The 27,107-nt window shown below is 52.6% G+C and overlaps 1 protein-coding gene across 5 annotated transcripts in view, besides 5 other annotated features; it reads left to right on the plus strand.

Annotated features, from left to right (window-relative positions):
* RYR1 (ryanodine receptor 1) overlaps positions 1 to 27,107 on the plus strand; it is a 153,874-nt gene that overhangs the window by 120,403 nt on the left and 6,364 nt on the right. For 4 of the 5 annotated variants that reach the window (NM_000540.3, XM_006723317.3, NM_001042723.2 and 1 more), the window contains 12 exons: positions 7,020 to 7,361; positions 10,866 to 11,678; positions 12,818 to 12,894; positions 13,680 to 13,824; positions 16,514 to 16,600; positions 17,926 to 18,177; positions 19,084 to 19,214; positions 21,826 to 21,868; positions 23,825 to 23,955; positions 24,051 to 24,111; positions 25,889 to 26,035; positions 26,277 to 26,411. In NM_000540.3, the coding sequence (NP_000531.2) occupies positions 7,020 to 7,361; positions 10,866 to 11,678; positions 12,818 to 12,894; positions 13,680 to 13,824; positions 16,514 to 16,600; positions 17,926 to 18,177; positions 19,084 to 19,214; positions 21,826 to 21,868; positions 23,825 to 23,955; positions 24,051 to 24,111; positions 25,889 to 26,035; positions 26,277 to 26,411 (2,364 nt within the window). The remainder of the gene's footprint in view (positions 1 to 7,019; positions 7,362 to 10,865; positions 11,679 to 12,817; positions 12,895 to 13,679; positions 13,825 to 16,513; positions 16,601 to 17,925; positions 18,178 to 19,083; positions 19,215 to 21,825; positions 21,869 to 23,824; positions 23,956 to 24,050; positions 24,112 to 25,888; positions 26,036 to 26,276; positions 26,412 to 27,107) is intronic. The other variant, XM_011527205.3, reaches the window with a different exon arrangement.
* Positions 3,199 to 3,388: an enhancer, noted in NCBI's record as "active region_14576". NCBI's record gives its function as "activates an Ori minimal core promoter by ATAC-STARR-seq in GM12878 lymphoblastoid cells {active_cell/tissue: GM12878}" and the evidence as "EXISTENCE:reporter gene assay evidence [ECO:0000049][PMID:35858748]".
* Positions 11,519 to 11,588: a silencer, noted in NCBI's record as "silent region_10577". NCBI's record gives its function as "represses an Ori minimal core promoter by ATAC-STARR-seq in GM12878 lymphoblastoid cells {active_cell/tissue: GM12878}" and the evidence as "EXISTENCE:reporter gene assay evidence [ECO:0000049][PMID:35858748]".
* Positions 15,223 to 15,423: a silencer, noted in NCBI's record as "peak3473 fragment used in MPRA reporter construct". NCBI's record gives its function as "represses an SCP1 promoter by STARR-seq MPRAs in K562 erythroleukemia cells {active_cell/tissue: K562}" and the evidence as "EXISTENCE:reporter gene assay evidence [ECO:0000049][PMID:32103011]".
* Positions 15,286 to 15,405: an enhancer, noted in NCBI's record as "active region_14577". NCBI's record gives its function as "activates an Ori minimal core promoter by ATAC-STARR-seq in GM12878 lymphoblastoid cells {active_cell/tissue: GM12878}" and the evidence as "EXISTENCE:reporter gene assay evidence [ECO:0000049][PMID:35858748]".
* Positions 25,458 to 25,959: an enhancer, noted in NCBI's record as "H3K4me1 hESC enhancer chr19:39070191-39070692 (GRCh37/hg19 assembly coordinates)". NCBI's record gives its function as "activates a minimal SCP1, AML or CMV promoter by ChIP-STARR-seq in primed H9 embryonic stem cells {active_cell/tissue: H9 hESC(primed)}" and the evidence as "EXISTENCE:reporter gene assay evidence [ECO:0000049][PMID:30033119]".

A 27,107-nucleotide genomic window follows, 5' to 3' on the forward strand; every position in this document is an offset into this window, starting at 1 on the left:
CATTTGTACATGTTTTACTGCAGAGTTCCAGCAGATGGAGGGAAATGTGCTGAGGAAGGCTGTAGTATTTGGGCCTAAAGCAATGCTGGCTATAACAATTACTCTTGCTACACTTTGAGAGGCTGAGGCATGTGGATCACCTGAGGTCAGGAGTTCGAGACCAGCCTGACCAACACGGTGAAACCCCATCTCTACTAAAAATACGAAAAAATAGCGGGCATGGTGGCATGCACCTGTAATCCCAGCTGCTTGGGAGGCTGAGGCAGAGAATTGCTTGAACCCGGGAGTTAGAGGTTGCAGTGAGCTGAGATTGCGCCACTGCACTCCTGCCTGGGCGACAGAACAAGACTCAGTCTCAAAAGAAAAAAAAAATAAGTAGCATTGTTCTATAATTTCCCAAGTTCTTCATGGTTGCCAGAGTTCTTGACAGTTTACAAATCACATCTTCATTGATGAAGTACTTTGTAGATTTCAAAACATCTACTATAGCTTGGAAGGCCCTTTCTGGTGTTTGAAATCACATTTTATTTATTTATTTATTTAAATGTTTAATTATATTAACAGAGATGAGGTCTCCCTATGTTGCCCAGGCTGGTCTTGAACTCCTGGGTTTAAGGGATCCTCCTGCCTCAGCCTCCCAAAGCGCTGGGATTACAGGAATGAGTCACCTCACCCAACAGAAACCACATTTTAGGTTACTGATTTATTCCTGGTCAGTAAACAGTCTTGAGGTTATCTTCATTGTTTTCCTATCTGCAAATTTTATTTGTCTCTTAATTAAAACACTTCCTTTTTAAAGTGTCTTTACTGAAATAGAATGTACATACCATAAAATCCACCCATTTAAAATGTACAGTTCAGTGGTTTATAGTGTGTTCACAGAATTATGAAGCCATCCCTGCAATCTAATTTTAGAACATTTTAATCATCCTTTGAAAACGAACCCCATACCCATTAGCAGTCATTTCCCACTTCCCCCACCCCAGCCCCCGGTAACCACTGATCTTTCTGCCTCTATAGATTTGCCTATTCTGAACACTGCATATAAATGGTATCATAAAATATATATGGTCTTGGCCAGACACGGTGGGTCACGCCTGTAATCCCAGTACTTTGGGAGGTCCAAGAGAGTGGACTGTTTGAGTCCAGGTGTTTGAGAAGAGCCTGGGCAACATGGCGAAACCCTGTCTCCACTAAAAATACAAAAAATTAGCCGAGTGTGGTGGCACATGCCTGTAGTCCTAGCTACTTGCGAGGCTGAGGTGGGAGGACCGAGAAGTTGAGGTCGCAGTGAGTCCTGAACACACCACTGCACTCCACTCCAGCCTGAGCAACAGAGTGAGACCCTGCCTCAAAAAAAAAAAAAAAAAAATGCATGTGTGTGTGCGCACGTGTGTGTGTATGTGTGTGTGGCCTTAAAAGACGTTCCTTTTATTTAACAAACCACAATGTCATCACTCCTAACCCAAAATAAAACAGTACAAATAAAAAAGTCACAGTCCTTTAAATCATCAAATATCTAGTGAGTGTGCAAATTTCCAAATCTCATAACTTTCATGTAACTATCAGGATTTTTTGTAGCTTCTTTAAATCAGAATCCAAACAAGGGCCACCCATTGCAATTGGCTGATACTTTTTAAAATCATCTTTCATCTCTTGCTTCCCCTCTATTATCTTTTCTTTTTCCTTGCAATTTATCTCCTGGAGATCCAGTCCTGCAGATCTTTACTGTCCAACAGAAATACAATATGAGCAATATGTATATTTTTAAATTTTCTTCTTTTTTTTGAGACAGGGTCTCACTCTGTTGTCCAGGCTGGAGTGCAGTGGGGCAATCTCAGCTCACTGTAACCTCCACCTGTCAGGTTCAAGTGATTCTCCTGCCTCAGCCTCCTGAGTAGCTGGGATTACAGGCATGCGCCACCACACCTGGCTAATTTTTGTATTTTTAGTAGAGACAAGGTTTCGCCATGTTGGCCAGGGTAGTCTCAAACTCCTGGCCTAAAGTGATCTGCCCTCCTCACCCTCCGAAAGTGCTGGGATTACAGGCGTGAGTCACCATAATTTTAAATTTTCTAATAGCCATGTTTTTTAAAAAGTAAAAAGAGGACCGGCATGGTGGCTCGTGCCTGTAATCCCAGCACTTTGGGAGGCCAAGGCGGGAGGATCACTTGAGGCCAGGAGTTTGAGCCAGCCTGCGTAACACAGCAAAACCCTATCTCTATAAAAACTTTAAAAAATAACCAGGTGTAGTAGTGCATATCTGTAGTCCCAGTTACTGGGGAGGCTGAGGCAGGAGGATCTCTTGAACCTTGGAGGTTAATGCTGCAGTGAGCCATGTTCATGGCACTGTACTTCAACCTGGGCAACTGAGCAAGACTCTGTTAAAAAAAAAAAAAAGTAAAATGAAACACTACACATAATCTAGTACACTCAGGATATTATTTCAACATGGAATCAATCCTGTTTATTTATTTATAGAGATGGGGTCTTGCCATGTTGCCCAGGCTGGTCTCAAACTCCTGTGCTCAAGCAATCCACCCTCCTCAGCCACCCAAGGTGCTGGGATTACAGGCAAGAGCCACTGTGCCTGGCCATAATCAATCTAAAAAATGATTAGCTCGACATTTTTCATTCTTTTTTCACACTAAGTCTATCAGTGGATAGTGCTGTCCTAGTTGTAGAGCTTCCCATAGTCTGGACCTGACCAATGCGTCCTTGTGGTGTCATTTCATGTGTTCCTGTGTCCCCTGGGTTTCCTCCAAAGTGGGACTCAGCCAAAGTTCGAGCAGATTCAGATTTGGGTGTAAGGAGTTTTTTAGCCAGAACCTTCCTATGTGGGGCTACTGTATACCTCCACCAGGAGGCACCTCCTTTCCAGATGCCAGCAGCTGTTTCTGCTCAACACTCAGACATATTCATTCATTAGAGATTGCAAAATGGCGATAGTCTCATTTCTTTTTTTTTTTTTTTTTTTTGTGACAGAGTCTCATTCTGTCACCCAGGCTGGAGTGCAGTGGCATGCTCTCGGCTCACTGCAACCTCCGCCTCCCAGGTTCAAGCGATTCTCCTGCCTCAGCCTCCCAAAGTGCTGGGATTATAGGCATGAGCCACGGCGCCCAGCCTCTTAGTTTTCATGATGCTTCCTTCACTTGACAAATGAGTATGAGTACCTACTGTGTGTCAGGCACTGCCCTGGTCCTGAAGGTACAGCAGTGAACAAAACAGAGAGCCCACTGTGGGGGCTGATAGTCCAGTGGGAAGGGGCAGATGCAAATAACGAAATACACGAAGTAATTGCAGGTTATAATCTGTGGTCTGAAGGGTGTGGGAGTGAGCAGGGTGTGGTAAGCCCTGTAAACCGGCTGGTGGCGGAAGGCCTTCTGCAGGAGGGGACAGCGAAGCTGAGAGTTGAAAGATACCATATGACTCAGCGAGGCTGTGGTGTCCCAGGCAAAGGGGACAGTAAATGGAAAGGCTGAAAAATGGGAACAAGAGGGACAGAGAGCAGCCTGGGCAACATGGCGAAACCAAACCCTGTCCCTACAAAAAATACAAAAATTAGCTAGGCATGGTGGCCTATGCCTGAAGTCCCAGCTACTTGGGAGGCTGAGGCAAGAGAATCACTTGAACCCAGGAGGGGGAGGTTGCTGTGAGCCAAGATCGCGTCATTGCACTCCAGCCTGGGTGACAAGAGCGAAATTCTGTCTCAAAAAAAAGAAATAAAAATACAAAAATTAGCTAGGCATGGTGGTGCATGCCTGTATTCCCAGCTACTCGGGAGGCTGAGGCAGGAGAATCGCTTGAACCCGGGAGGCGGAGGTTGCAGTGAGCCGAGATTGCACCACTGCACTCCAGCATGGGCAACAGAGTGAGACTCTCTCAAAAATAAAATAAAATAATACAATAAAATATAAAATAAAATAAAATACTAGCCAGGCACGATGACTCATGCCTGTAATCTCGATACTTTGGGAGGCTGAGGTGGGAGGATCGCTTGAGCCCAGGAGTTCAAGACCAGCCTAGAAAACATAATGAGACCTTGTCTCTACAAAAAAACTGTTTAAAAAATTAGCTGGGTATGGTGGTGCATGCCTGTGGTCCCAACTTGGAAGGCTAAGACGGGAGGATCACTTGAGCCCAGGAGGTCGAGGCTATGGCAAGCCATGATCACTCCATTACACTCCAGCCTAGGTAGTAGAGACAGACTTTGTCTCAAAAAATTAATAATAAAGTAAAACAACTAAAAGACTATAAGTAGACTGTAACACAAAGAAAGGATAAATGCCAGAGGGAATGGATAACGCATTAACCCTGATGTGAGTACGTATTGCATGCCTATATCAAAATAGTTCATCTACCCCATAAATAAATACAACTACTATGTACCCACAAAAATGAAAAATAAAAAGGCCTGGCTCATGCCTGTAATCCTAACACTTTGGGAGGCCAAGGCGGGCAGATCACTTGAGATCAGGAGTTCAAGACCAGCCTGGCCAACATGGCGAAACCCCATCTCTACTAAAAATACAAAAATTAGCTTGGCGTGGTAGCACATGCCTGTAATCTCAGCTACTCAGAAGACTGAGGCAGGAGAATCGCTTGAACCCTGGAGGCAGAGGTTTCAGTGAGCCAAGATCACGCCACTGCACTCCAGCCTGGGTGACAGAGCAAGACTCTGTCTCAAAAAATAAAAATAATTTTTTAAAAAAATAGTCCAGGTGTGGTGGCTCACACCTGTAATCCTAGCACTTTGGGAGGCCCAGGCAGGCAGATCACCTGAGGTCAGGAGTTCAAGGCCAGCCTGGCCAACATGGCGAAACCCTGTCTCTACTAAAAATACAGAATTAGCCAGTGTGGTGGCACACGCCTGTAGTCCCAGCTACTCAGGAGGCTGAGACAGGAGAATCACTTGAACCCAGGAGGCGGAGGCTGCAGTGAGCCAAGATCGTGCCACTGCACTCTAGCCTGGGCAAGACAGAGCAAGACTCCGTCTCAATAAGTAAGTAAGTAAATAAATAAATAAAGGGATGGGCAATGAATGATGACACAGAGAGATCAGCAAATCACAAGAGCAAAGTCTAGGAGTGAATGGAGGTGATAGTGTCCCAGGCGCCTGTGGAGAGGTGGGCTTCTTTTTTTTTTTTTTTTTTTTTTTGAGACAGGGTCTCGCTCTTATTGCCCAGGCTAGGTGCAATGGCACAATCTTGGCTCACTGCAACATCCGCCTCCCAGGTTCAAGCCATTCTCCTGCTTCAGCCTCTCAAGTAGCTGGGATTACAGGCACGCACCATCATGCCTAACTAATTTTTGTATTTTTAGTAGAGACGGGGTTTCACCATGTTGTCCAGGCTGGTCTCGAACTCCTGACCTCAGGTGATCCACCCGCCTCGGCCTCCCAAAGTCCTGGGATTACAGGCATGAGCCACCACACCTGGCCAGAGGTGGATTTTTGAGACAGACAGTGTCACACTGCTCATGATAGAGGGGTAGGCAAGCAGACGAGGTGAGGGCAGAAGGTGAGGGGTTCCGGTGTGATTATGTCTCCATGCTCTGTGGTTTCTAGAGCCCTTCATGATTTGCAAAGCATGTTACTCATTTAGAAAGCATTTTGCAAAGTTCTGGGGTTTTTACAAAGCACTTTTGAGAGCCAGAAAATTTTGCTTCTGTTCATACCCCAGAGCAACATTTCTCACACTGCATGTTGCTACCCGTCTGGAGGTAATGAAATTAATTTAGCAATGCGTAACTCGTGACCAGCATCTTTAGAAATAAAATAGAACACTGCAGAGTGTGCTACACAGCAAAGGTCAGAATTATGTCATGAAACCTTTTTTTTTTTTTTTGAGTCACATTGTAAAATGTATTCTTATGGTTGAGTGAGTGCGGTCAAGAACATTTTATGCTGCTCTAGAGAACCTCTTGCAAAAATGCATGGGCAATCAGCACAAGAATGTTCAAGAAAAGTGTTGTCTGAAAGAAATCTGTGGGTGAACTTGGTGATTTATGCTTGTAATCCCAACACTTTGGGAGGCGGAGGAGGGCAAATCACCTGAGTTCAGGAGTTTGGGACAAGCCTGGGCAACATGGCAAAACCCCGTCTACAAAAAAATACAAAAATTCACCAGGCACAGTGGCATGCACCTGTAGTCCTAGCTACTCAGGAGGCTGAAGCACGAGACTCATTTGACCCTGGGAGGTGGAGGCTGCAATGAGCTGAGATCGTGCCACTGCACCACTCCAGCCTGGGTGAAAGAGTGAGACCCTGTCTCAGAAAAAAAAAACAAAAACAAAATACAAATCTGGAAGCAACCTACATTTCCATTAGCAGGATAACAGATAAAGAGTGTTATGGCTGGGCGCGGTGGCACACACCTGTCACCCCTGCACTTTGGGAGGCCGAGGCGGGTGGATCACCTGAGGACAGGAGTTCGAGACCAGCCTGGCCAACATGATGAAACCCTATCTCACTAAAAATACAAAAAATTAGCCAGGTGTGGTGGCGGGCACCTGTAATCCCAGCTGCTCAGGAGGCTGAGGCAGGAGAATCACTTGACCCTGGGAGGTGGAGGTTGCAGTGAGCTGAGATCATGCCACTGCACTCCAGCCTGGGCGACAAGAGCGAAACTCCGTCTCAAAAAAAAAAAAAAAAAAAAAGAGAAAGAAAAAGAAAAAAAAGCAAGTTTCAGCTGAGGTGGGAGGATCCCTTGAGCCCAGGAGTTTGAGACCAGCCTTGGCAACATAGGGAGACCTTATCTCTACAAAAAAAAATTAAAATTAAAATTAGCCAGGTGTAGCGGTGTGTGCCTGTAGTCCCAGCTGCTCTGGATGCTGGGTACTTGAGCCCGGGGGTGGGGATGGGGACGAGAGGGGATGTCTTGAGGCTGGGTTGAGCTGTGATTGCGCCACTGCACTCCAGCCTGGGCGACACAGCGAGACCTTGTCTTAAAAAAAAAAAAAAAAAGAGAGAGAATTGAGGCTCTCCAGGTCACCCCACTGACCTCCCTGCCCGCCCCCAGGCCATGGACAGCCAGAAGCAGTTCAGCGGTCCAGAAATCCAGTTCCTGCTTTCGTGCTCCGAAGCGGATGAGAACGAAATGATCAACTGCGAAGAGTTCGCCAACCGCTTCCAGGAGCCAGCACGCGACATCGGCTTCAACGTGGCGGTGCTGCTGACCAACCTGTCGGAGCATGTGCCGCATGACCCTCGCCTGCACAACTTCCTGGAGCTGGCCGAGAGCATCCTTGAGTACTTCCGCCCCTACCTGGGCCGCATCGAGATCATGGGCGCGTCACGCCGCATCGAGCGCATCTACTTCGAGATCTCAGAGACCAACCGCGCCCAGTGGGAGATGCCCCAGGTCAGGGAACCCGCGCGCGTGCAAGCTCGCCTCCTGGGGCTTCGGGCATGCGGGTGCTCACTTCCTGCACCCTCAGACCCCACGGGGGCTGTGCGTGCCTCGCATATCTGCCCTGCTCCGGCAAGCCCACGCCCACCCTTTTGTACACATTTCGTCCAGCTGCGCCCTTGCACATCCCTGGCTCGCCCCTGGCCACTTCTTGCGGACCTGGCCCACACAAGGATGCACACCCCTTGGGCATGAAGCAGGGTCAGTGTGTCCTGACTGTGGCTGCTCACACGCCATGCTTTCCCCTTACACCCACACCCTGGGAGCTCTGGCAGGCCCTTATAGCCCTGATGCAGCCCTACCCACACTCTCACCTCCTCGAACCTGCATGGCGACACACCCCTTGCTCACCTTCCCAGTAGCCCCCGGCGTGCCGTCTCTTGGTCCTGGCCCGCTCATGCTCACTCTTGTACACGCTCGCCTTGGGGGCTCTGGGGTGCCCTGGCATGCTGACCCACCCTTCACCAGTCATCACGTTTGCCCCCAGATGCCTTCTGAAGTCCTAGCATATGTGTACCCCAACTTATTCTGGGCCCACACGTGGGTGCACACCTCTTGCACACACACCCTGAGGATGCCAATGAGCCCTCTCAGAACCCTGGCATGCTTCATTTGTTCACTGTCCACTTGCCCTCACTGTAGCCCTGGCACAACCATGCTCACCCATGCACACTTGGGCCACGGTCTCAGGCTCACCCAGAAGAGCCCTCAGACCTACTCTCTAATCTGACATGCCCTATCTCAGCTCCTCCTATGCCCAGCCCACAAATGCTTGAACATCCCTCACACACTCGCTTGCCCCAAGGGTACACTCACGTGGTCCCGGCATGTCCCCAGCAGAGCTGGCACACCTGGCTGACATATGGTTCCCCTCCCCATTCCCTCACACTCCCCACACGCCCCTGACACACCCTCACCTCATTCTCTTGCACACACACTTGCTTGTTGTTCCTCAGATGCCGCCAGGTACTTGCACACCCCTTCTTGTCTCACACACATAGCCCGGGAGGTTTGCGCACCCGTCACCTCCTTCATGAGTGGGCCCTTCATATGTCTCCTCAGGGGACACCAGCTCATGCACGCGGGCTCATGTCCCACACAGAGCCCTGTCCTCATGTTCTGGGAGCCAGTACACAAACCCTTGGCTCCCCTTCCCACATTCATGCCTGCCTCACGCACACTGCATAACTGCAGGCCCCTCTCACACTCATACTCCTCCTGTCCCCCCACAGAGTCCCAGGCCCTTGCACACCTGCCCCGTGTGCCCACGTCCACCGTGCACACTGAGCCTCTCGTGGTTGCACACTTTTGGCATCTTCCCATGCCGCCACGCCCTCCTTACTCCTGATCCCTCCCTGGCCCCCGGTGTCTCCTCACATACTCCGCAGGAACCCTTGAGATCTTGCACACTCATCTGTGCCCCTCGGGGCCCCACTGCATACACACCCCCATCTGGCACACAAGTGGTTGCAGCATCCTGGCACCCAGGATGTCCACACATCCCTGCCTCTGCAGGAAGCCCCTGTTCACCACGGCCCTTCCCACTCATTCTTTGCACGTGCTGGGGGAGCTCTGCCCTCCTCTCTTCCTCTGACCCTGCGTGCTCCCCATACAAACACTCTTTGCCTTAGTGCTATTCCTCCAAACACCCGCTTCCTTCTGCTCACCCCTTCCCATTCCACTTTCCCCTGCTTCTCAGGCATCCACGTATGCCCATGTGGCCTTGGAGCACCTGTGGGGCAGTATAATAATAGGTAACACTACGGTGTTGTTGTTGTTTGAGACAGAGTTTCGCTCTTGTTGACCAGGCTGGAGTGCAATGGCACGATCTCAGCTCACTCAACCTCCACCTCCTGGGTTCAAGCGGTTTTCCTGTCTCAGCCTCCTGAGTAGCTGAGATTACAGCCATGTGCAACCATGCCCACCTAATTTTTATATTTTCAGTAGAGGCGGGGTTTTGCCATGTTGGCAAGGCTGGTCTTGAACTCCTGACCTCAGGTGATCCGCCCGCCTCGGCCTCCCAAAGTGTTGGGATTACAGGTGTGCGCCACCGTGGCCTGCCCACTATACAGCATTTATCAGGCACCGGGCGCTGTTCTAATCATGCAGCATCTATTAACTCATTTAACCCTCACACCAACCCTATAATGTAGGTCCTATTATGCCCATTTTACAGAGGGGAAAACGGAGGTCCAGAGAGTTAATTCAAAATCACCCAGCTACTCAGTGGCAGAATCAGGATTTGAACCCAGGCAGGCTGGCTGCAGAGCCTTTGCCTTTAAGCACTATGCTCCTCCTCTCAAGGAAGCTAAACACATCCATTCTGGAGCCAGCTCTCTGGGGGTTCGAATCCTATATGTGCCACCTTGTCTGTGTCACCTGGGCATGTAACTTTCTGGGCCTCCCTGTCCTCATCTATAAAATGGGAAGAAAACCCGCTAGCCCTAGGCTTGTTTGTGAGGATTAAATGAGTTTTATGGAAACTGCTTGTATGGGGCCTGGCCTTATTGAAGCATTTACAGGAGTACCCACAGTGAGTGCTCTCTATAAAGCTCTCTCTATAGGTTTGCTATTGATAATCAAAACAACAACTTGGCCAGGCGCTGTGGCTCCTGCCTGTAATCCCAGCACTTTGGGAGGCCAAGGCCAGAGGATTGCTCGAGGCCAGGAGTTCGACACCAGCCTGACCAACACAGACAGACCCTGTCTCTGCAAAAAAATTTTTTTTAGAAATTAGCAGGCCAGTCATGGTGGCTTATGCCTGTAATCCCAGCACTTTGGGAGGGTGAGGCGGGCAGATCACTTGAGGCCAGGAGTTCCAGATCAGCCTGGCCAACATGGCAAAACCCTGTCTCTACTGAAAATTCAAAAACTCAGCCCAGCATGGTGGCAGGCGCCTGTAATCCCAGCTACTCAGGAGGCCGAGGCATGGGGATCATGTGAACCCTGGGGACGAAGGTTACAGTGAGACAGCGTCACTTCATTCCAGCCTAGGAGACAGAGCTAGATCTTGTCTTTTTTTTTTTTTTTCTTGAGACAGACTTTCACTCTGTTGCCCAGGCTGGAGTGCAGTGGCACGATCACAGCTCATGGCAACCTCCGCCTCCCGGGTTCAAGTTATTCTCCTACCTCAGCCTCCCGAGTAACGGATTACAGGGGTGCGCCACCACACCGGCTAATTTTTGCATTTTTAGTAGAGACGGGGGTTTCACCATGTTGGCCAGGCTGGTCTCGAACTCCTGACCCCAAGTGATCTGCCAGCCTCAGTTTCCCAAAGTGCTATGATTACAGGCGGAGCCACCGCGCCCAGCCTGACCCTGTCTCAAAAACAAAATACCAACAATGCATTTAGAACAGCGCCTGCCGCGGTGACCCCTTGTAGCTGCCACTGCGCTGTCGCTGCTGTCCGAGCCCCCGCTGACGGCGCCCTATCCTGTCTGCCGCCCCTCGCTTCAGGTGAAGGAGTCCAAGCGCCAGTTCATCTTCGACGTGGTGAACGAGGGCGGCGAGGCTGAGAAGATGGAGCTCTTCGTGAGTTTCTGCGAGGACACCATCTTCGAGATGCAGATCGCCGCGCAGATCTCGGAGCCCGAGGGCGAGCCGGAGACCGACGAGGACGAGGGCGCGGGCGCGGCGGAGGCGGGCGCGGAAGGCGCGGAGGAGGGCGCGGCGGGGCTCGAGGGCACGGCGGCCACGGCGGCGGCGGGGGCGACGGCGCGGGTTGTGGCGGCCGCAGGCCGGGCCCTGCGAGGCCTCAGCTACCGCAGCCTGCGGCGGCGCGTGCGGCGGCTGCGGCGGCTTACGGCCCGCGAGGCGGCCACCGCAGTGGCGGCGCTGCTCTGGGCAGCAGTGACGCGCGCTGGGGCCGCTGGCGCGGGGGCGGCGGCGGGCGCGCTGGGCCTGCTCTGGGGCTCGCTGTTCGGCGGCGGCCTGGTGGAGGGCGCCAAGAAGGTGACGGTGACCGAGCTCCTGGCAGGCATGCCCGACCCCACCAGCGACGAGGTGCACGGCGAGCAGCCGGCCGGGCCGGGCGGAGACGCAGACGGCGAGGGTGCCAGCGAGGGCGCTGGAGACGCCGCGGAGGGCGCTGGAGACGAGGAGGAGGCGGTGCACGAGGCCGGGCCGGGCGGTGCCGACGGGGCGGTGGCCGTGACCGATGGGGGCCCCTTCCGGCCCGAAGGGGCTGGCGGTCTCGGGGACATGGGGGACACGACGCCTGCGGAACCGCCCACACCCGAGGGCTCTCCCATCCTCAAGAGGAAATTGGGGGTGAGAGAGCAGGCGGGGTTTTGGGGTTTTGGAAAGATGGGGGATTGGAGGGAGGAAGAGAGCCCGGCTGGGTGGAGACACACACAGAGGAGAGAACTGGCTAGGGGGATGGGCACACGCACCCACGGAGGACGCACCCATGGAGGACGCACACGGGGACAGCGGGCGCCGGGCAAGAGAGACGCTCAGAGACAGAGGGATACTCAGACCCACAGAGAAAGAGACTCAGAGATGGAGACCTGGAGAAAGGGCCGGGGAGAGAGAGTGCAGGGCCGGACAGAGTGCAGGGCCGGACAGAGTGCAGGGCCCGGAGAGGTAGAGAAAATGATACCTGCAGAGCCAGAGAGAGTAAGAAACCCAGAGACCAAATTAGAGGGCAGGAAAGACCAAAACTAAGCCAGGCGCGGTGGCTTACACCTGTGATCCCAGCACTTTGGGAGGCCGAGGCGGGCCGATCACCTGAGGTCAGGAGTTTGAGACCATCCTGGCCACCGTGGTGGAACCCCGTCTCTACTAAAAATATAAAAATTAGCCGGGCATGGTGGTGTGCGCCTGTAATCCCAGCTACTCGGGAGGCTGAGGCAGGAGAATCGCTTGAACCCGGGAGGCAGAGGTTGCAGTGAGCCAAGATGGTGCCACTGCACTCCAGCCTGGGCGACAGAGCGAGACTCTGTCTCAAAAAAAAAAAAAAAAAAAAAAAAAAAAAGGAAAAGAAAGACCAAGACTAAAAAAAGTCCCGAGACAGGGTCAGGGCCACTAGGAAAAGACCCTCGGAGATACTCGTTGTGGGAATGAAGTACACCGTGGAGGAAGGGACCCCAAACATCCTCAGGCCCTTGGTGCTGGGAATGCCTTGGGAATGTGGAGGTCAAGGTGGTGGGAAGCCCTGGGGACAAGCAGAGCTGCACTTGGAGTCAGCCCGACCCTGCGCAGTGCTTTGGGCAAAGGGCTTCACCTCGATGAGCCTCAGTTTCCCCTCTGTAAAACGGGAATCATAATCTGCCTCTTTCTGGTGGAGGGAAGTGTAAAACTTAGATTACCCAGGGGAAATAAGAGAGAAAGGAGATGAGAGGAGCAGGCAGGCAGCCTGAGAAGCGCTTAGGGTGAGGACTCAGCCCTGATGCTTGCCCTGTCCCTAGGTGGATGGAGTGGAGGAGGAGCTCCCGCCAGAGCCAGAGCCCGAGCCGGAACCAGAGCTGGAGCCGGAGAAAGCCGAGTGAGTGGCCTTGGGGCTGAGGGGCCTAGCCCCTATCACTGCCTCCCTCCTAGAGTAGGAGCCTCCAGAGGTCAGGCCCCAAGGCTGTCCTGGCCACCCTGTGTCCTCGGCATCACCCAGCCCAGACTCAGGCACGGAGGAGGGGCTCTGAGTAAAAGAATCAAGAAATAAATGCTCCAACCTGGGCAACATAAAAAAAAAATTAAAATTAGCCAAGCATGGTGGTGTGTGGGGAGGCTGAGGTGGGAGGATCACTTGACCCCTGGAGGTGGAGGCTGCAGTGAGCCCTGATCGCAGCATTGCCCTCCAGCCTGGGTGACAGAGCAAGACCCTGTGTCGAAAAAGAAAAAAAAATATGGAGAGATAGAAAAATGAAAACTCCCATCTAACTGCCAGGCCTTCGCATGTGCTTTCCCGCTGCCTGGAACACAGGCCCCCATGCCTACTCTGAGTCTTTCTCATCCTTTCCAATTCTCCAGGACACCTGACCCCCTCCTAAGTTGAGGAGGTGTCTCCTCCAGATTCCCACAACCCCCTGAGCTTCCTCCATCCCAGCCCCGACCACTCTGGGCTGTCACTGCCTGGTGTCACTGTCACTGCCTGTCTCCCACATTGGACTGGAGCCCCATAAGGGCAAGTCCTGATTATCTCATCATCCCATGTACCCAGTACCATCCAAACCTGGGCCAGGCACAGGGCGGGCCCTTGGTGAATGGTTTTGAATGAATGAACTCATGCATTGCCTGCCCAGGCACCTCCTGACCTCTCTCTGTCCTGCCCTGCAGTGCCGAGAATGGGGAGAAGGAAGAAGTTCCCGAGCCCACACCAGAGCCCCCCAAGAAGCAAGCACCTCCCTCACCCCCTCCAAAGAAGGAGGAAGCTGGAGGCGAATTCTGGGGAGAACTGGAGGTGCAGAGGGTGAAGTTCCTGGTAAGGATCCAGCCAGGTCACCTGAACCTTCTTCTCCCCGGGAGCCCCACCTCTGGTGCCCACCTCTCCTGCTCACCTTGTTCTTGAGTTCATCTGTTCAAGCTCGTCTCTAAGAAGAACCCTAGCTGGGGAAAGGGCAGAGGTATCCCCAGACCTGCGGACAGGGTAGCATTTTCAGATGGCCCTCACTTGGTTCCTTGTCCCTTCCCTGCTCACTATCCTTATTCCAACCTCCATACCTCTGTTCATCGGGGCCACCCACCCACACTTCCACCTCCATCCTCTGTCCAGAGCTACATTCAGTGAGGCCACCACTCTGGCCTTCCCACCGTGGCCTGTTCTTGGCTGTCAGCCCTTACAGTCTCAGTCCCTCCACCACTCCCAGTGCTGCTGTGGAGGTCTGAGCTCTCCCAATTCCTGGGGAAGCGTTCATCTCATCCAGGCCAGGAAGAAGGGTGGGTGTTGGGAGGCAGGTCCCAGGGTTCCCTCCATCCTGTCTCCCCTCCAGGCCTGGCCCGATAGGAGGGGGTGAGGGAGGCTGGGCACGGTGGGTCACACCTGTAATCCCAGCACCTTGGGAGGCCGAGGCAGGCGGATCGCCTGAGGTCAGGAGTTCAAGACCAGACTGGCCAACATGGTGAAACCCCATCTCTACTAAAAATACAAAAAAAAAAAAAAAAAAAAATTAGCCAGCCATAGTGGTGCATGCCTGCAATTCCAGCTACTCAGGATGCTGAGGCATGAGAATCGCTTGAACCCAAGAGGCAGAAGTTTCAGTGAGCCGAGATCGTGCCACTGCACTCCAGCCTGGGCGACAGAGTGAGACTCTGCCTCAAACAAAGTGGTGGTGGGGGGCGGGGGGGCGGTGAGGGAATCATGTGGAACGAAGGTGGTTCCGTCAGAATTTGTGGGAAGAATGAGGGATGGAGGGAAAGGTGGAGAGAAAGAGGGAGAGATGGAAGATGTTCCTGGCCGTGCGAGGGGGCTCATGCCTGTAAGTCCAGTACTTTGGAAGTCCAAGGTAGGAGGATCACTGGAGCCCAGGAGTTTGGGGCAAGCCAGGGCAACATAGGGAGATCCCTGTCTCTACAAAAGAATTTTTTTTTTTTTTGAGACGGAGTCTCGCTCTGTTGCCCAGGTTGGAGTGCAGTGGCACAATCTCGGCTCACTGCAAGCTCTGACTCCTGGGTTCACGCCATTCTCCTGCCTCAGCCTCCCGAGTAGCTAGGACTACAGGCGCCCGCCGCCACGCCTGGCTAATTTTTTGTATTTTTAGTAGAAACGGGGTTTCACCGTGTTAGCCAGAATGGCCTAGATCTGACCTTGTGATCCACCCGCCTTGGCCTCCCAAAGTGCTGGGATTACAGGCGTGAGCCACTGCACCTGGCCGAATATTTTTAATCTTTTTTTTTTTTTAATTACTGCTCCTTGCAGAGCAGGGCTACCCTCTAGGCAGTGCACCCAGAGTAGCCAAAAATGTTTTTTTAATTAGCTGGGTGAGGTGACACATGCCTGTGGTCCCAGCTGTTCAGGAGGCTGAGGCGGGAGGATCACTTAAGCACAGGAGGTTGAGGCAGCAGTGAGCTATGGTTGTGTCACTTCACTCCAACCTGGGTGAGAGTAAGACCTTGACTCAAAAAAAAAAAAAATTCCCTTTCATCTTCTGTAAAGCAGGCAGGGCGACAGGTGGGGTGACCTCACTCAGGAAGCAGCATGGCCAAGTGGCTTGGAGCTTGGACTCTGGAGGCTGACTGCCCGGGTTCAAATCCCATCTCTGCCACTCGTTGGTTATGTTACCTTGAGCAAGACACCACTTCCCTGAGCCTCAGTTTCCTCATCTGTAAAGTGCGCATAACAGTAGTGCCCACTTCACAGGGGTGTACTGAGAATTAAACAAGCTCATGCAAATAAAGTTCTTAGCCCAGATGTTGGTATAAGCAAGCACTCAACAAATAGGAGGTTGAGGCCAGCCGAGGTGGCTCACACCTATAATCCTAGCACTTTGGGAGGCTGAGGTGGGTGGATCACCTGAGGTCAGGAGTTTGAGACCAGCCTGACCAACATGGTGAGACCCCGTCTCTACTGAAAATACAAAAACTAACTGAGTGTGGTGGTGCATACCTGTAATCCCAGCTACTTAGGAGGCTGAGTCATGAGAATTTGAACCCGGTAGGCAGAGGTTGCAGTGAGCCGAGATGGCGCCACTGCATTCGAGCCTGGGTGACAGAGTGAGACCTTGTCTCAAAAATAAATAAATAGGCTGGACGTGGTGGCTCAAGCCTGTAATCCCAGCACTTAGGCTGAGGAGGGCGGATCACGAGGTCAGGAGTTTGAGATCAGCCTGGCCAATATGGTGAAACCCTGTCTCTACTAAAAATACACAAATTAGCTGGGCGTGGTGGCACACGCCTGTAGTCCCAGCTACTCGGGAGGCGGCAGCAGAGGAATTGCTTGAACCCGGGCGGCAGAGGTTGCAGTGAGCCAAGATCGCACCACTGCACTCCAGCCTGGACGACAGAGCAAGACTCTGTCTCAAAAATAATAATAATAATAATTAATAAATAAATAGGAGGTTGTAGGAAAGATATTGAGAGCCCAGGTACTTTGATTGCAGGTAAATGATGGGATGAATTCTCCAGGGAAGAGGCTGATCTGTGAGCGCTTTCTCTCTTTTTCTCTTCTCTCTCAGAACTACCTGTCCCGGAACTTTTACACCCTGCGGTTCCTTGCCCTCTTCTTGGCATTTGCCATCAACTTCATCTTGCTGTTTTATAAGGTGCTGGTCCTGAAGGGCTGGGAGGGTCAGGCCCTTTTCCATGCTGTGGGATGGGAGGCTCAGCCCCTATCAGAATTTCAGGGTTCCTCCACTGAAGGGATAAGGTATTGGGCTTTGGGTCGTTAGGAGGGTTCAGGCTGGACACCTGGATCCTGGGACCCCCCTCCATGGGGGTGAGTAGGGGATATCTGGATCCATCTGGGACAGAAGCCTGAGTGTCTGTGGGAGTTAGAGCAGGAGCAGGAGCTGAGTTCTCTGCTCAGCTCGGCCACATGCCAGTCCTGTGCGCCTGGGTGCAGGCCCTCAGCTCTTGGCAACACCCACTGATTCTGTTAAGCATCTTTGGTTTCACATAAGCTAAACAGAAGTTTGCAGGGAGGAAGAAATGGGCCACTCACAGAATGGAAGGAATGGGTTAAGAACCAGGCCTCCTGAAGGACAAAGGGACCCTTGGGGTCTTGCCAGGGGTCTAGATAACAGGACAGTAAGGTAGACTAGAGAGATCGAAGCATGGCTTCTGTGGGACCCAGAAGTCCCACAGTGGGACTGCCCACTGGCGCATGACGATAGGCAAGGTGCTTACCATCCCTGTGCCTCAACTCCCTCATCTGTAAAATGGAATACCTCTTAGAGCTGTGGGGATTGAAAGAGGATAAGGCACCAGGCACAGTGGCTCACGCCTGTAATCCCAGCACTTTGGGAGGCCGAGGTAGGTGGATTACCTGAAGTCCGGAATTCAAGACCAGCCTGGCCACATGGTGAAACCCCGTCTCTACTAAAAATACAAAAAAAAATTAGCCAGGCCTGGTGGCGGGCACCTGTAATCCAAGCTATGCAGGAGGCTGAGGCAGTAGAATCCCTTGAACCCAGGAGGCAAAGGTTGCAGTGAGCCGAGATTGCACCACTACACTCCAGCCTAGGTGACAAGAGTGAAACTCCGTCCACCCCACCAAAAAAAAGAGGATGAGTGTGTGTAAGGCAGTTAGAGCAACAGTACCTGGCATATAAAAAGCACTGTGTAAATGTTTAGCTGCTACTAATTTTCATGTTAGTGTTAATATTAGTGGGCAGTCTCTTTAGGGCTCCACTATCAAGATGAACCAACTCTGTCTTCAGTTCTGTGCCACTCAGTTCAATAGGCTAATTCCCAGGTCAGAGTCTGATTTGCTAGCTACAGCCCTAGGCCCAACCCTTGATCTTGATTGACAGCCACACCAAGACTGTATCTGGTATGGTCCCAGTCCAATCTCGGGAATGGAGGCTCAATTTTGTGAGTGGGCTCTGCATGTGGCAGACCCACAGATGAATCTCTGTCCCCATTTCAGGTCTCAGACTCTCCACCAGGGGAGGACGACATGGAAGGCTCAGCTGCTGGGGATGTGTCAGGTGCAGGCTCTGGTGGCAGCTCTGGCTGGGGCTTGGGGGCCGGAGAGGAGGCAGAGGGCGATGAGGATGAGAACATGGTGTACTACTTCCTGGAGGAAAGCACAGGCTACATGGAACCCGCCCTGCGGTGTCTGAGCCTCCTGCATACACTGGTGGCCTTTCTCTGCATCATTGGCTATAATTGTCTCAAGGTGGGCCCATGGCCATGGTTCTGGGGCAAGGGCTTATTGGCTGGGTGGGGGTGGGGGCAGTGCTGGAGCACTGGCTGGGGCTGGGGGCCCTCAAAGTGGTTGGGACAGAGGGGGCCTAGGGTTGGGGTGAGGGCTGGGGAACTGGGTACAGGATTGGGGTCTCCAGCAAGGATGACAGGGGTCTCCAGTAAGGACGACATTCAGATTGGGAACGGACACGGCTTATAGCTGAGGAACCAGGTTCTGGACCACTGTCTTGATACTTTGCTATTGAACTAGAGTTCTTTGGGCTTAAAACTTTCATACATGCTATTCCCTCTGCCTGCAATACTTTGCCCTGCTTCCACCTCCTTGCACCTGCCTGTTTTATTCATCCTTCAGTTCTGAGTTCAGACCTCCCTCCCTTGGGAAGCCCCAGGTGGCATCAGGCACCACTCCTGGGCTCCCACAGCTCCCCTGTTCTCACATCCTGGCCCGATCCCTCTGCCTGTGCCCCACCCCCATTCCAGCCCTGACCCCTATATGCCCCTACATCCCAGCCCTGACACCCCTGCCTGTGCCTCTCCACTGCCAGCCCCGACTGCTCTGCCTGTGCCCCCCAATTCCAGCCCTGACTCTTCTATCTATGCCCCCTATCCCGGCCCTGACCCCTCTATCTATGCACCACATTCCAGCCCTGACCCCCCTGCCTGTGCCTCCCCCATCCCTGCCCTGACCCCTCTGCCCATGTTCCCCACATCCCAGCCCTAAGCCCTCTGCCTGGGCCTCATTTCTACCCTTATCACTGGGAAAGCACTTCTGATGTGGGGTCACACACAGACCCCAGCAAGATGTCATGGCTTCTGCTGAGACTATGGTCCAGCCAAGGTGCCTGACGCCCACCTTTGGCCTCCTCCCACTATCCAGGTGCCCCTGGTAATCTTTAAGCGGGAGAAGGAGCTGGCCCGGAAGCTGGAGTTTGATGGCCTGTACATCACGGAGCAGCCTGAGGACGATGACGTGAAGGGGCAGTGGGACCGACTGGTGCTCAACACGCCGTAAGGACCCAGCCCCCACCTCAGGGTGGCAGCAGGAGGGGACCTGGGTTTCCACCCAGTCCAGGCCTGGACCCCAAAAAACTAGGGTTTCGGTCCGGGCACGGTGGCTCACACCTGTAATCCCGGCACTTTGGGAGGCTAAGGCGGGCGGATCACGAGGTCAGGAGTTTGAGACCAGCCTGGACAACATGGTGAAATCCCGTCTCTACTAAAAGTACAAAAATTAGCTGGGCGTGGTGGCGGGCGCCTGTAATCCCAGCTACTGGGAAGGCTGAATCAGAAGAATCACTTGAACCTGGGATGTGGAGGATGCAGTGAGCCGAGATCGCACCATTACACTCCAGCCTGGGCAACAAGAGTGAAATTCCACCCCCTTCCCCCCAGACAAAAAAAAAAAAACCTAGGGTTTCAGTCCCTGCAGGCCCTGCCTCATTCTCCCCAAGTCTTACTCTTTCTTTCCATAAAAGAGGCACATTTCCCATGCATTACAGCATCTGTGTGGGTGAGGTTGGCACACAGAGATTCCTAGACTTGAGGCCTGGAGGTTCCTGTTCAGTGACTCTGGGGTGTGAGCCCAGGAACCCGTGTTTTAAACCCTGTCTCCAGGTGTGATTCTTACTCAGGTGCAATGAGTGCAAAATAAAAAAACATGGCCAGGCACGATGGCTCATGCCTGTAATCCCAACACTTGGGAGGCCAAGGTGGCAGATCACTTGAGGTCAGGAGTTCGAGACCAGCCTAGCCAACATGGTGAAACCCCATCTCTACTAAAAATACAAAAATTAGTCTCTACTAAAAATACAAAAAGTAGGCATGGTGGTGGGTGCCTGTGGTCCTAGCTACTCCGGAGGCTGAGGCATGAGAATCACTTAAACCTGCGAGGTGGAGGTTGCAGTGAGCCGAGATTGTGCCTCTGCACTCCAGCCTGGGCAACAGAGCGAGACTCCATCTGAAAAAAAAAAAAAAAAGGAAAAGAAAAAGAAAGGAAAAAAAAAAAAGAAAGAAAAGAAATCATTAGGGGCCCTAGGGGCCGCACTCAGTGGCTCACGCCTGTAATCTCAGCACTTTGGGAGGCTGAGGCAGGAGGATCCCTTGTGCCCAGGAGTTCAAGACCAGCCTGGACAACATAGAGAGACCTATATCTTTAGAAAAAAAAAACTAAAAAGTTAGCCAGACATGCTAGCCTGGCTAGCGCATGCCTGTAGTCTTAGCTGTTTGGGAGGCTGAGGCTGGAGGATGGCGTGAGCCCAGGAGTTCTAGGCTGCAGTGAGCTATGATTATGCCACTGTCCTTCAGCCTGAGTGACAGAGCAAGACCCTATGTCTGGGGGCCAAAAAAAAAACAAGTAGGAATTGGAAGTGCAATGAATCAAAGCACTTCAAATAATTGCAAATCCGTGAATTCATAATCAATCATCGCTCCACCCTCTCAAAAAACAAAACTCGTGGCTGGGCACAGTGGCTCACATCTGTAATCAATCCTAGCACTTTGGGAGGCCGAGGCAGGCGGATCACGAGGTCAGGAGATCCAGACCATCCTGGCTAACATGGTGAAACCCTGTCTCTACTAAAAATACAAAAAAATTAGCTGGGCGTGGCAGTGGGTGCCTGTAGTCACAGCTACTCGGGAGGCTGAGGCAGAAGAATGGCGTGAACCGAGGAGGCGGAGCTTGCAGTGAGCCCAGATGGCACCACTGCACTCCAGCCTGGGCGACAGAGCGAGACTCCGTCTCAAAAAAAAAAAAAAAAAACTCGTTGGCCATATTTGAGGATGTTAGGGCATCAATTTGTCACTTGGAAAACTGGTGAATAAAGGGCCAGAATCATGAAATTAAATGAAATCAACCAGTATGAGGAAGCAGGCAGTTGCACTGGAGTTGGTGCTGAGTTAGGCTGCTGTTTTGGACTCCTCCCCACCCATCACCACGCCAGAGCCTCTTTATCAGAGTGCCATTCTGAGGTCTTTTTTGCACATCTGGCTCTGAATGCAAATTCTCTGCCTCATTTGGGGTCTAGCAAAGATGGCAGTGGGGTCCCCACTGTTCAAGGTTCCTACAAGAAAAGCAGTGGAGCCAGGCGCAGGTGGCTCACGCCTGTAATCCCAGCACTTTGGGAGGCCAAGGCGGGAGGGGGGATCACCTGAGGTCAGAAGTTTGAGACCAGCCTGGCCAACATGGCAAAACCCTGTCTCTACTAAAAATACAAAAATTAGCCGGGCGTGGTGGTGGGCGCCTGTAATCCCAGCACTTTGGGAGGCCAAGGCGGGTGGGGGCATCACCTGAGGTCAGAAGTTCAAGAACAGCCTGGCCAACATGGCAAAACCTCGTCTCTACTAAAAATACGAAAATTAGCCGGGCGTGGTGGTGGGCGCCTGTAATCCCAGCTACTCAGGAGGCTGAGGCAGGAGAATCGCTTGAACCTGGGAGGCAAAGTTTGCAGTGAGCAGATATCACACCACTGCACTCCAGCCTGGGCAACAGAGTGAGACTCCATCTCAAAAAAAAAGGAAAAAGAAAAACAGTGGAGTTTCAGCCAACCCTGTCGTGGCTGACAGCTCTGATCCCTCTGGCCCTAACATCTTATACTCACGCTTTCTCTCTCTCTCTCTGCAGGTCTTTCCCTAGCAACTACTGGGACAAGTTTGTCAAGCGCAAGGTGAGAGGACATGGATGCCCTGGGTCCTGGATTGGGTCCCTGCCTGCCACCAGGCCATCACAGGCCTGCCAAGCACTTGCTTGGTGTGTGACCTTGGGCAAGAGGTTTTTTTGCCTTTCTGAGTAGCACCTCAGTTTCCCCATGGGGAGATGGGCATAGTAAGCTTGCTTCCCTTTCTTGAATGGGCACATGGAAAGAGCAGAGCATCAAGGCCAAGCGTGGTGGCTCACGCCTGTAATCCCAGAACTTTGGGAGGCTGAGATGGATGTAACACTTGAGCTCAGGAATTTCACAGCAGCCTGGGCAACATGGCAAAATGCCGTCTCTACCAAAAATACAAAAAATTAGCACGGTACCGCATGCCTGTAGTCCCAGCTACTCAGGAGGCTGAGGTGGGAGGATCGCTTAACCTGGGAGGCAGAAGTTGCAGTGAGCCAAGATTGCACCACTGCACTACAGCCTGGGTGAAAGAGTGAGACCTCATCTCAAAAAAAATAATAATAACAAAAAATAAGAAAGCATAGCATAGTGCCTGGCACAGAGTGAATACTCAAGAAATACTGGTTGAGGCCAGGAGCAGTGGCACACGCCTGTAATCCCAGCACTTTGGGAGGCCGAGGTGGGCAGATCACTTGAGGTCAGGAGTTTGAGACCAGCCTGGACAACATGGCAAAACTGCATCTCTACTAAAAACACAAAAATTAGCTGGGCACCTGTAATCCCAGCTACTTGAGAGACTGAGGCAGGAGAATCACTTGAACCCGGGCGGCAGAGGCTGCAGTGAGCCGAGATCGCGCCATTGCATTCCAGCCTGGGTGACAGAGCGAGACTCCGTCTCAAAAAAAGAGAGAAATACTAGTTGAAAGAGAGGAAGTTAGCAATATGTCTTAAGCACACACACTCTGGAACCAGATTGCCTGCTTTTCTTTTGTTTTTTTCTTTGAGACGGAGTCTCGCTCTGTTACCCAGTCTGGAGTGCAGTGGCACAATCTCAGCTCACTGCAACCTCCACCTCCCGGGTTCAAGCGATTCTCCTGCCTCAGCCTCCCGAGTAGCTGGGATTACAGGCACCCACCACCACGTCTGGCTAATTTTTGTATTTTTAGTAGAGACGGGGTTTCGCCATGTGGGCCAGGCTGATCTCGAACTCCTGACCTCAGGTGATCCACCCGCCTCGGCCTCCCAAAGTGCTGGGATTACAGGCACGAGCCACCGCGCCCAGCCGATTGCCTGCCTTTCTATTTCTGGCTTATTGACCTTTCTGTACCTCATACTCAAAGTGGGGTAATAATACGGCCAACCCTACAGGGTTGTTGTATTATGTACTACATGAGCAGTATCTGGCATATAGGAGAACACTAGATATGTTGGCTGTTACTATAATTCGTTCACTCATATTTACGGAGCACCTATTATGTGCCAGGAACAGTTTTAGAAACCTGGGATCCCGTGTTAAACAAAACAGTGATTCTGACCTTCAAGTTGGAAAGATAGATGATGAACCCAAGTACAGTATGTCAGTGGTGATAAATGCTGTAGAAAAAAACAAAGTGGGCTGGGCACGGTGGCTCACGCCTGTAATCCCAGCACTTTGGGAGGCCAAGGAGGGCAGATCACTTGAGGTTAGGAGTTCAAGACCAGCCTGACCAACACAGAGAAACCCCGTCCCTACTAAAAATACAAAATTAGCCGGGCATGGTGGTGCATGCCTGTAATCCCAGCTACTCAGGTGGCTGAGGCAGGAGAATCGCTTGAACCCGGGAGGCACAGGTTGCAGTGAGCAGAGATGGCGCCACTGCCCTCCAGCCTGGGTGACAGAGGGAGACTGTCTCAAAAAAAAAAATGCACCTCCCATTTCTCACTCAGAGTTTGGAGTGTCCCCAGAACCCCCTTGCAGGCCACGACACACACCCACACTCCAGCTGTGTCTACACAGCCTGATGCTCTCTTGTGCAGGTCCTGGACAAACATGGGGACATCTACGGGCGGGAGCGGATTGCTGAGCTACTGGGCATGGACCTGGCCACACTAGAGATCACAGCCCACAATGAGCGCAAGCCCAACCCGCCGCCAGGGCTGCTGACCTGGTGAGCCCAGGACACCCCTGCACAGGCCTGGGGCATGCAGGGGAGGTGACTGGAGTCTGACACTCAAGCATCTCTCCCCACCCCCGCCCCCACAGGCTCATGTCCATCGATGTCAAGTACCAGATCTGGAAGTTCGGGGTCATCTTCACAGACAACGTGAGCAGGGGCCCACAGACTGGGGAGGGACTCTGCAGGGGTGGGGCGTTAGGAGGGTTCCCAACGTCGGGTGTTCCTGACCAAAGAATGACTCCTGGGACCCTGAGTGGCTGTGACCCTAGGGTATCTTCTTATCCACACAAGGCTCCTTATCCCCCTAGACATCTTATTAGTATTATTATTACTATTTTTTTTTAAATAGCTGGGATTGGGTGTGGTGGCTCACGCCTGTACTCCCAACACTTTGAGAAGCCAAGGCTGGTGGATCACTGGAGCCCAGAGTTTGAGACCAGCCTGGGCAATATAGTGAGATCCTCTCTCTACAGAAAATTTAAAAATTAGCTGGGGCTGGGCGTGCTGGCTTACGCCTGTAGTCCCAGCACTTTGGGAGGCCGAGGCAGGCAGATCACTTGAGGTCAGGAGTTCAAGACAAACCTGGCACTGGGCATGGCAGCAGGTGCCTGTAATCCCAGCTACTCAGGAGGCTGAGGCAGGAGAATGGCTTGAATCCAGGAGGTGGAGGCTGCAGTGAGCCAAGATCGCACCACTGCACTCCAGCCTGGGCGACAGAATGAGAATCCATCTCAACAACAACAACAACAAAAACACAAAAAATTAGCCAGGCAGACAGGCACAGTGGCTCAGGCCTATAATCCCAGCACTTTGGGAGGCGGAGGCAGAGGTTTGCTTGAGCTCAAACGTTTAAGACCAGCTTGGGCAACTTTTGTAGAGACGGTGAAACCCTGTCTCTACAAACAATACAAAAATTAGCCAGGCGTGGTGGTGCACACCTGTAGTCCCAGCCACTCAACAAGCTGCGGTGGGAGGATGGCTTGAGCCCAGGAGGCAGAGGTTTCAGTGAGCTGCATGTGCACCACTGCACTCCAGCGTGGATAACAGAGCGAGACCCTGTCTCTAACAAAAAACAGAGAGTGGCCAGGTGCGGTGGCTCAGGCCTGTAATCCCAGCACTTTGGGTTGGGAGGCCGAGGTGGGTGGATCACTTGAGGCCAGGAGTTAGAGACCAGCCTGGCCATCATGGTGAAACCCATCTCTACTAAAAATACAAAAATTAGCTGGGTGTGGTGACCCACGCCTGTGGTCCCAGCTACTTTGGAGGCTAAGGCAGGAGAATCGCTTGAACCCGGGAGGCGGAGGTTGCAGTGAGCTGAGATTGCAACACTGCACTCCAGCCTGGGCAACAGACTAAGACTCCATCTCAAAAAAAAAAAAAAAAAAATTAGCTGGGTGTGGTTACCCACACCTGTGGTCTCAGCTACTTGGCAGGCTTAGCCTCCTTCACTTGAACCTGAGAGGCGGAGGTTGCAGTGAGCTGAGATTGCGCCATAGCATTCCAGCCTGGGTGACAAGTGTGAAACTCCATCTCAAAAAAAAAAAAAAAAAAAGACAGAGGAAGAGATGATGGAGTCTCGCTATGTTGCCCAGACTGGTCTTCAACTCCTGACCTCAAGTGATGCTCCTGCCTCAGCCCCCCAAAGCACTGGGGATACAGGCATGAGCCACCACACCCGGCCCAGAACATCCTTTGGCTCCCTCAGTGTGCCCTTAGATTGCCAGATTATTTCCTTCTGGAGGGGGCTCTCATCTCCCCGCAGGATGCCTTCTCACCCGGAATGCCCTGATCCTCCATGTACTCCCCAAACAGAGCTGGCACCCGACCCCCAGGGCACAGCTGACTCTCGAGTGGCCCCTACCCTCCAGAGTGCTCCTCGTGTGTCCCTGCCTTCCCCCTGACCCCTGGCCCTGTGTGCCCACAGTCCTTCCTGTACCTGGGCTGGTATATGGTGATGTCCCTCTTGGGACACTACAACAACTTCTTCTTTGCTGCCCATCTCCTGGACATCGCCATGGGGGTCAAGACGCTGCGCACCATCCTGTCCTCTGTCACCCACAATGGGAAACAGGTGTGGGGAGGACCTGGCTGTGGGGCGTGGGCCAGCAGGGACCAGCGTGGCAGTGGGTGGTGAAGGGATAAGGGCCGGGCAGCTGGGCTGAGGAGGGGCAAGGCCAGGTGCGCTGAGCCGGGGGTGTGTGGGGCAGCAAGGTAGAGCCACAGGGACTGAACCGGGGCCAGGACCCAGCATGGGCAGGGTGGGGGGAGGGCAAGCCCAGGGCGGAGCTGACCTGGCCCCATCCTGCCCCCAGCTGGTGATGACCGTGGGCCTTCTGGCGGTGGTCGTCTACCTGTACACCGTGGTGGCCTTCAACTTCTTCCGCAAGTTCTACAACAAGAGCGAGGATGAGGATGAACCTGACATGAAGTGTGATGACATGATGACGGTGAGCCCCTCCCCTAGCACTCTGGGACCCTTCCTTCTCGCATCTGTTGAAGGAGTTAATAATGGTACCTCCAGGCCGGGCGTGGTGCCTCCAGCCTGCAATCCCAGTGCGTCGGGAGGCCGAGGCGGGACGATTACTTGAGTCCAGGAGTTGGAAACCAGCCTGGGCAACAAAGCAAAAATCCTGTCTCTATAAAAAAAAATTTAAACGTTAGCTGGGTGTTGTGTTGTGTGCCTGGAGGCTAAGGCAAGAGGATCACTTGGTCCCAGCAGTTTGAGGCTTTAGTGAGCTACGAATGGGCCACTACACTCCATCCTGGCAGACAGACAGAGACCCTATCTCTAAAAAATGAAAATAGTACCTACAGTTTGGCAAGCTGATGCATGCCAGGCACATTTTTTTTTTTTTTTTTTGAGATGGAGTCTCACTGTGTTGCCAGGCTAGAGTGCAGTGGCGCAATCTCAGCTCACTGCAACCTCCGCTTCCTGGGTTCAAGTGATTCTCCTGCCTCAGCCTCCCAAGTAGCTGGGACTACAGGCGCATGCCACCACACCCAGATACTTTTTGTATTCTTAATTTTCTTTCTTTCTTTTTTTTTTGAGACAGAGTCTGGCCCAGGCTGGAGTGCAGTGGCGTGATCTCAGCTCACTGCAAGCTCCGCCTCCCGGGTTCATGCCATTCTCCTGCCTCTGCCTC

This window comes from Homo sapiens, chromosome 19 (genome assembly GCF_000001405.40).
Source record: "Homo sapiens chromosome 19, GRCh38.p14 Primary Assembly".
Taxonomy (NCBI): Eukaryota; Metazoa; Chordata; class Mammalia; order Primates; family Hominidae; genus Homo; species Homo sapiens.